This window comes from Homo sapiens, chromosome 16, assembly GCF_000001405.40.
Source record: "Homo sapiens chromosome 16, GRCh38.p14 Primary Assembly".
NCBI classification, from domain to species: Eukaryota; Metazoa; Chordata; class Mammalia; order Primates; family Hominidae; genus Homo; species Homo sapiens.
Genome location: NC_000016.10, coordinates 33,355,506 through 33,364,704, shown reverse-complemented (window position 1 = coordinate 33,364,704; position 9,199 = coordinate 33,355,506). Strand labels below are relative to the sequence as shown.

The 9,199-nt window shown below is 42.9% G+C and overlaps 1 protein-coding gene across 5 annotated transcripts; it reads right to left on the bottom strand.

Annotated features, from left to right (window-relative positions):
* Positions 1–1,226: 1,226 nt before the first annotated feature.
* TP53TG3B (TP53 target 3B) lies at positions 1,227–3,864 on the bottom strand. 5 transcript variants are annotated; one of them, NR_110897.2, is made up of 4 exons: positions 3,435–3,864; positions 3,163–3,329; positions 2,476–2,764; positions 1,227–2,263 (listed from the first exon to the last, which is right to left on the bottom strand). NR_110897.2 is itself a non-coding variant. In XM_011545933.2 (3 exons), the coding sequence occupies exons 1-2, from the start codon at positions 3,794–3,796 to the stop codon at positions 3,293–3,295; spliced, it is 399 nt and encodes a 132-aa protein (XP_011544235.1). In that variant the 5' UTR covers positions 3,797–3,864; the 3' UTR covers positions 1,227–2,255; positions 3,163–3,292. The 5 variants fall into 5 exon arrangements, 2 of the variants coding, with proteins under 2 accessions (XP_011544235.1, NP_001093157.1); NR_110911.2 differs by lacking the exon at positions 3,163–3,329; NR_158181.2 differs by lacking the exon at positions 3,163–3,329 and having other exon boundaries at positions 1,227–2,255.
* Between the last annotated feature and the right edge of the window lie 5,335 nt (positions 3,865–9,199).

Genomic DNA, 9,199 nt, shown 5'->3' with positions numbered 1-9,199 from the left:
AAAGATGAGGGCCTAGCAGATTAGCAAAGACTAGGAGAAGACTCTATCTTGTGGCCAGCTTCAGAGAACCTGGGGCCATAGCTCCCTGGTCAACATTAGGCCTGCTGCATGGGGACCCTGGGCAGGCAGTGGGAAGCCTGAGGTGTGGCTCCTGGTAGCCTCACAGCTGCCACTATTTTCTGAAGCTCCTCCTACTTGTTTTGTCAGACGGGCCCCTATTCCAGCAGGCCAGCAACACCCTCAAGACCAAGAACAGGCCATGGTGAATCTCAGGGCCATTGAGTGCCTGGGCTGGCAGGGGCAGAGTGCCTCAGGGCTCAGTGACATTTGGCCTGAGTGTTGGCTTTGGGAGTCAGACAGCTGCACTGGGCTCCCAGCTTCACCATGACCAGTAATGTGTCTGGGGCCGGGGCCTCACTGCTCTAAAACTTGAGACACCATAGTGATAAATTTTACACACCCTTCTAACTGCTTTTTCTTTTTTATCTGTCTTTCTCTATAATCACCATGTACTACTGATCTCTGTTTATTTAAATTAATAAGCATGTTATACAGTGTGTATTATTCTTCCTCGTGACTTCTTTACTACATTGTATGATTCCACTCATATGAGGTACTTACAGTAGTTCCATTCATAGAAACTCAAAGTAGAAGAGTAGTTCCTAGAGGCCAAAAGGAAGGTAACGGGAACAGAGTTTGAGTTTTGCAAAATGAACAAATTTCCCTATGAATGTGGATGATGGTTGTAGAACAATGTGAGTATGATTAATTCCTCTGTCCTGCACTTTTAAAAATTGTTAAAATGGTTAATTTTATGTATATTTTACCACAATGTAAAAAAGGACTTTTTTAAATGAACAAACTGTAGATATCTGTAACAGCATAAATATCACAAATATAATATTGCATTAAAAAATTGATGTAAAAGTATCCATACTGTGTAATTTTTTATATTACACTCAAAAATCAAAACTGAGGTTCTGGCTTCCACTAATGATGAAGTAGCTAACTGAACTAACACTCTCACACAGAAAAATGATGAATCCTGGGTAAATTATTATATATCATTATAGAAACATTTCTATATACAATACATACATGAAATATGTGTATATAAAAACTGAATGCATATTTTGGCTATGACTTCCATAGGAGAGATAAGTATTGAAGATAGAATCCAGCCCATTTAACACCATCTTTTAAAAACAACACTCTTCACAGGGACAAAACAGAATCCAGTCTTTTTAATCCAGTCTTGTATACAGTCTCCAGGGCACAATTTCCAATTCAAGGGATGCGTGAAGACACGTGAAAATGTAATAAATACACAAGATAAAAAGCAGGCAGTAGCCATCTCCAAGATGTCCAAGATGTAAACGGCAGACAAGAATTTGAAGGCAGCTATTATAAACACGCTCATGAGGGCAAAGGAAAATATTCTCATAAATGAATAGATGTGAAACATCAGCAGAGAAAAAATAGCCATATAAAAAATGAGAAATAAAAATAATAATTTTGAGCTTTTCTATAGTTCAGAAACAGAGACATAGCAATATAATTTATCCAATCTGAGGAGAGGAAAAAAAAAAGAAGTTTAAAGAAAATGAACAGAGCCTTACAGACCTGTGGGATGACTGAGTCTGAGAAAAGGTGAGAGATAGAAAAAATCAAATGGAGTATAAAAGTAAATCAACAAAATTTAAAGAAAATAAACACAGCCTTAGAGACCCATGGAATTATTGAGCCTGAGGAGAGGAGAGAGACAGAAGAATTAGATGGGTTGGAAAAATAAATCAATAACTAACAGCTGCAAACTTGCAAAAATTGTTCAAAAACCTATTTTTTTTTTTTTAATCTAAAGATCCACGAATCCCCCACAAAAGTACAAATAAAACCATACCAAGGCCATATTGCAATTTAGGAAAGCAGCAGGCAGGACTTTCAATTGACTTGATATGATTTATCATTTTTACTATTTGTAAGAATGGAAATAAGTTCTTAGAGTTTTGGTCTTGGAGAAAGTCTGACGTTAAGGACAAACGACAGTTATTAAAGGCAGATGACTTTCCAGACTTGTCTTAAATGTTCCATTCTTCACCTTAGAACTTATTTAAATTTGTTTCTTCCAAATACTGCAGTAATATTGATGCTCCAGAGAGATGTCCCACGGAGATTCTGCTCTTGTGCGTCTGCCCTGCACGGAGCTGAGGCAGTGTCTATCAGTTTCAGAAGCGAGTAGTCGTGCAGTACTTAACCTGAAAAACTTAATGGAAACATGAATTAAGAGAATGATCACTGTTTAGTTCTATCAGAAAACTATTAAAAGTGGTCCAAGGGGGTATTTAAAAAGAGATATTAAAGTATTTTCCAAGGGAGCCCTATTCAGGGTAGAAGCGCAGACACTATCCCTGACCTCACCACACAAACTACCCTCATGTGTTGGGAGGGACCAAGGGGCGCTCTGGTCCTGCTGACCTGCATTAATCACGGCCCGGAGGTCCACACTAAGACCCTGAGGCCTGGGAAGCAGCCTGGGTGGGGTCAGAGAAGCGGTGGATGAGGCTCCACAGCAGCTCCCAGGGTCCCATCCCCGTAGCTGTTTCCTTAGTGGATGCAGCAGGGTCAGGCCCTTCCGCTGTGACGTTTTCTCCTCTTTATTACACTGGTGGGAAAGTCTCCGTGAGAGGCCCGACCTAGATATGGACCACGCAGCGAGCCCGGGGGTCCAAGCGGCGCTCCTGGGGTGCAGAGGATTTGTGACAGCCTAGAGAACAGAGGAAATGGTTTTGAAAAGGCAAATGGCAGGTGACTAGGGACACGATGTTTTCACTTCTGGCAGTCAAGTGACAGTTTCAGACACTCATGAACGGGCTTCTCGAGGGGATCCCAAGGAGCCTCCAGGTCGGCCGCCATTACCCTACACCTAGGGACGGGCTGCACTGCGCATTTCCGAAAGGGCAGGCCCCTTAGCCCCACCCCTAGGAATGGGTGCACTGCGCATGTGTGAAAGGGCAGGACTTTTATCCCGCCGCTAGGGACGGGCTACACTACCCATGTCTGAACGGGTGTGACAAGAGGGAGGAGCGAGAAGGGACGGGGCGGAGCGGGAGATGGGCAAGAATAGGGGCGCGGTGCGGCCAACGTCCGGCGGAGGATCGTTACCACGGCAACGCTGCTGTGGAGGCCATGAAAGGCGAACGGCCCTTTGTTGGCTGACAGGAAATCGAGACACTCGTGAGGGGGCTTCTTGAGGCGATCCCAAGAGGCCTGAGAACTGCCACATCCGCGGCCCTTAACCCAGCCCTAGGGACGGGCCGCACTGCGCATGTCTGAAAGGGAGTGACAAGAGGAGGAGCGAAGGAGGGTGGGGCTGAGGAGGAGGCGGGGTGAGAAAAGGGGCGGGTCGCGCCCCACCCTTGTCTGAGGAGCGTTACCTTGACAACCCTGCCGCGGAGGCAGTGAGAGGCCACCGGCCCTTTGTTGATCTGCAAGGTATCAAACTTCGAACATGACAAGCATAAAAGCCTGCAGCTCGAGGAGACAGGGTGTCACAATTACCAGGTGAAACTAGCCGCCCTAGCTCCAATGTCTCTTCAGCAGGAGAGATTTGGAAACAGCAAGGCTCCTCTCCGCAGGGCGAAACTGCTGGGCTGCGAAAGGCGGGACAGGGAGCGGAACCGTCTTCAACCGTTCCGGGAGTTCTGGTGTCTGGTCCGCTCCCGGCTGTTGGTCGCAGGGCAGAGGGTCTAGGATGCCAGCTGGCTGCGGGCTGGGAGATGCAGGGTGAGGCGCGCATCGCGGTGCATACTGGGAGTTGTAGTCTCTCCACCGTTCCCCACGGTGGATGGTGGGGCTACAGGAGGACAATCCCAGATTGAGACAGGAGCGGAGGCGGGGCGCGGCCGTGCAGGGAGGGGGAGGGCGGTGTAGGCGGCTTCGTTTACCAAGCTTGCTGGCCATTGATTTCATGCCAAACCCTCGCCAAGGGGATTAAATCAGGAGAGGAACTTGAAGGGCAGGCCTGGTCTCGCCAGTGAGGAGGATGTGTTGTTGGGAAGTGCACCCCGCCTTTGCCTAAATCGAGAGTGTCTGGTCCTCACTCACGCGACTTCGACTTCCAGCTGCTCAGCTCGATTTTCTTTCCCACTCGCACCCGAGTTCTTTCCAGAGCGTCCCACCTCCTCCAGCCCATGGAGCCGTCTGCTTTCATAAGTGGCTGTGGAAACTGGTCTGAGGTCCCAGACGCTGTCACTGTGCTGCTGCCCTCCGCTCTCTCCAAGCAAAGCACAAGCTGAGCCGCCTTGGAAAGACAACCACGGCCTGGCCTGGGAATGCGCAAGTTCAGAGCTTTGCAGGGAGTGACCATGGGCTGTGGCTTCGTGAAAATGTCACGTTCACCAGTACCCTTTTTGCGGATGTGGCCGTGGAGCCATGAGGGGGGTAATCACTGGGTTACAAAGGTGCTGCTAAGAGCGGAGGAGAAAAACCCAATTCCCAGCCATGTGTCTGGTATGACATTTCACCAACCCATTTAAGTGTGCAGGCCTCCAAATATCTACCTAAAGATTATGATAGATTAGGCATTTTACACTAAAAATCTGTGGCTTCGTGTCCACTAAAGCCTGACTGGCCAGTGCCTAAAAGAAACAGACGATAACCTGATCCCTCAGGAACAGATGGTGTTCTAGCTTTGTGGAAGTGAATTTCAAGGTATGGAGCACTTGAGGGGTCTTTGAAACCTGCCAGGTCTCACATCTCTGCTTTTGGTGAAAAGCTCATCAACTAACAGTAGTCAGGAATGTGCCTTTACTTCCTGGGGCTGGTCTGTTGAAATTTTGTGTGTGGACAATGGAAACATCCAGGAGCATTTCTGCTTTCCTATAGCCTCTTAATAATTGATGCCCTAAAGTCCTATATCCTTTGATTCCTGGATGGTACAGATTTCATGCTGTTAAATCTAATCTGCAAAAACCTGAGCGTTAATCTCCATGAATAGAAGAACTTGTTGTTTCTTATTTAAATGCTCTTTTTTCTCTTGTCTTAGATTCTGAGCAGGATTTCCAATACGGTGTTGAAAGAAGTAGTGAGAGTGGGCATCTTTTTCTTATAATAAATCTTAAAAACAATTCCAAAATTTCACCATTGACAATAATGTTAACCATGGGATTGTCCTATAGCTTATAAAGAACATATCTCTTTATTTTGAGGTATATTCTTTCTATACCTAATTTGTTATAGATTTTATTTGGAATGGATTTTAAATTTTGTCAAAATAATTTTAGGCATGCATAAAAAAGTCATGATTTTTAATCTTTTTGTTGTGTAAATAAGGAGTATGGCATTTATTGATTTCCACATATTAAAATATTATTGCATCCCAGGAATAAATCCAACTTGATCATAATAAATGATCCTTTTAAAGTGCTTTTGAATTTCATTTGCAACTACGTTGCGGATGATTTTTCATCTATGTTCATCAGGGATATTGGCCTGTAATTGTTTTTCTTGTAATGTCCATCTCTGGTTTTTGTATCAGTGTAATGCTGGCTTCATAAAATGAGTTTGGAAGTATTCCTCCTCCTTCAATTTTTTCAAAGATTTGGTTCTTTTTAAATGTTTAGTAAAATTCAGCAACAAAGTCATCAGATCTAAACTCCTTACCCATTACTGATCTATTCATATTTTCTATTTCTTTATGCTTCAGTCTTGGTGGGTGGTACTTGTCTAGAAATGTATTCATGTCTTCTCCCTTATCCCATTTGGTGGGATATCATTGTACATAGGAGTCTGTGTACATAGCAGTCTTATGACCTTTTTTTATTTCTGTTTTACCAGTTGTAATGTATTCCCTTTAATTCTGATTTTATTTATTTAAGCATTTATTTCTTAGTCTAGCTAAAGATATGCCAACTTCATGTTTTCATAAAACAAGCTCTTACAATTTTTCTACATTTTCTATTGTTTTTCTAATCTTCAGTGTATTCATTTCTGCTCCGATTTTTTTTACTAATTTTATTATCTGGGAACGTTGGGATAAGTTCTTCCTCCTCTAGTTTCTTGAGTTGTGTCATTATTTGTTTATTTGTGATCTGTTTTCTCTTTGGTTGAAGGTGTTTACTGCCACTCCATTTCACTGGGATTAGCACCCATATGCATTGTGGTCTTTTTGTTTGAGTTCATCAAACTTCTGATCCTAAGTCTGCACCTTTAGCATACTGGTAAGCAGCAGTGCTAAAAGCCTACACGATGAGTAGGGGATTTAGGATGAGAGAATTACCCAGTAAGTTTTGGGAGGGACTAATATTAAGTTATCTTTCTCTTTTTTATTTCTCATCAGTGCCTGAACCATAAGGCACAAGGAATGAGCCCCTCATCGTGAGAGTGCATGTGACAGGAGCAAAGGAAGCGGCAGCTCAGGAAACACAAGGTCACTGTTCTTGCTCCCATGACGGTAGCACTTGTTAGAGCAACTGAGTGACGTGCATAATTCTCTCCAAAGTAAAAGTCCTTTTTGTTTTTTGCAATTTTACAAAAAACCGTCCCTGGGCCTTTCCTGAGAGTGTGCAATAATAAGCAATGTTCATATGACTACCCGGGCATTTAGTAATGGTAAGCAGACCAGATGAAGTGACCACAGGGATATAGCCTGACTCTTGGTAATCAGGACTGAAGTACTCACTGATTAAGGTTCTGTGTTTTCACTGCCTTGAAAGGCAAGTGTCTTGCAAGCTGCATGCCAAACAAAGGCTAAATATGATGACACATCAGGCTGCAGCAGAGTCAACTGACCATATATGTCTAGGTGATGAGTGTGCTTTAATGTGGTCAGGGAAGGCAACTCATGATAAAGGCCACAAATGGCTATTTAGACCAAAGCAAAAGCCCACCAGAAACTGGTGGCTCTGACTGAGGTGACTTTTAATGTATCATGAAATCAGTAGGCCAAAAGCAGTTAAAGTTGAGCCGATGTCCTTAGTCATAGTTGGTTAATCCAGTTTGTATTGTGAATTGTTTGATTAGCCTCCCCTTTACCCCATTGGTGAGGGATAAATTACCACCCTTGTACTACTGGAACAGTTAAAACCATGGCACCAATCATTGGACAAATGAGATTGACAGCAGTTATTCGTTACATATAATCATGGAAGAAGGAAATTATATAAGGTATACAGACCCACACAGGGATTGCACTTGGGAGCAGAGAGAACAAACAGGGGGTGTTGGGGAAGGCTTTGTAGTATCAAGAGGGTGAGATGCACCTGGTTCCCACAGGAAGTTGTTATTGGTTGGTCTGGATAATTCTGTGACCTTGGGAGAAACTGAAACACATTATACTACCAATTGCTAAGACTACAATAACATACTATAATAGTGTAATGCTATAATGTACCATATACTGTAATACTAATGACAGTATGTTCTCCCTTTTTTGATAGATTCTCAGAAACTGTGACTTTAAGTAAAACAATGTACTATATAATAAAACCAATTTTACCATTGGCTAATTGATATAAACAAGAGTTAATTTTCCATGGCATATAGTATTTTGTTTCACTTAAAGTCAGTTTCCAGGGACCTATCAATGATGTTAAGTGAGCACTTACTGAACATGTATTTTAGTGATGTGTAATAGAAAGTAGCTATAAAAAATATACTATTCATGTACAAAACTACATGTGGCACACATTACAGTCATGAACCACATAACAATGTTTGAGAAATTGACAGACTATATATATGAGGGTGTTTTCTTGTGAGTATATATATATATATATAAACCTACCTTTAAAGGCCAAAGGAGCTGAGAGTTTGAAGAATGAGGCTGACAAATCAAGCTTCTCAGAAAGAAACATTTAAGAGGAACATTTATTAATAGAAGCTATGTCTCAGATAGCTGAAGATGGTGGAACCTCACACTGTGACCCCCTAAACCCAGACACTTATCACAGGAAAGGGAATGTGAAGGACAATTGAAATCACTATATAAATTTGCCTAAGGGTAGGATTTGTGCTAAGTACCTGTTCACAATAGCATCAGGGTTGTTTTGATTTAAGGGTAGGGCTTATAGAACTGTAGGTTTCAATATATGACATAGGTATTTGAAACCCTCACCAAAAAACATTAGAGGAAGTAACTCTGTCATCATTTTAAGTTTCTTTTTTTTTTTTTTAGTAATTTAAAATCTTAAAGTCTGGTTATGTTAAATTAAGTAATCTTAAGTTTCTCACTAAAAATTAGTATTGCTAAGCATTAAAAGAATAGTTTTAAGACAGTTTTTACCCCAGCACTAGTGATTGGATAATACGGCCCCAGGCCCCACCCCTTCAGGTTCTGAATGAGAGAAGATGTGAGCCAACTCGTAGCCAGATGACAACAGGGTAAAATGTTCCAAGCCGCAGCCTTTTTCAGGCAGGACTTCCTCCTTATGCTGAAGCCCGGCCTTCACTGTGGGATATTTGCATTTAACCTTGTATATAAGGTTATTTTTATTTATAAGTTGTATATATGTGGCCAGGCATAGTGGATCTCACCTTTAATACCAGCACTTTGGTAGGCTGAGGGGACAGAAGCTCTTGAATCCAGGCGTTTGGGACCAGCCTGGGCAACAGAATGTGAGGGCCCCACATCAAAACTTTTCTACAAAAAAATGAAAAAATTAGCCAGGCATGGTCACACGTGTCTGTGGTCCCAGCTACTTGGGAGGCAGAGGTGGGAGGGTCACTTAAGCCTGGGAGGTAGAGGCTGCAGTGAGCTGAGATCAGGCCACTGCACTGCAGCCTGGGTGACAGAACAAGATTCTCTCTTTCTTTCTCTGCCTTATTTGTGTGTGTGTGAAGGGGGAGGGGTGTGTGTGTGTATTATTCAAAATAGAAACAAAATAATAACAATTATTTTTATTTTTATTTACATTTTTTTGAGACAGAGTCTCACTCTGTCACCCAGGCTCGAGTACAGTGATGAGATATTGGCTCACTGCAACCTCCGCCTGCCAGGTTCAAGTGATTCTTCTGCCTCACCCTCCCAGGTAGCTGGGATACAGGCACCCACCATGTTGCCCAGCTAATTTTTGTAGTTTTAGTAGAGACATGGTTTCACCATGTTGACCAGGCTGGTTTCGAACCGAGGTCAAGTGATCCGCCTGCCTCGGCCTCCCAAAGTGCTAGCATAACAGGCATGAGCCACCATGCCCAACCAATT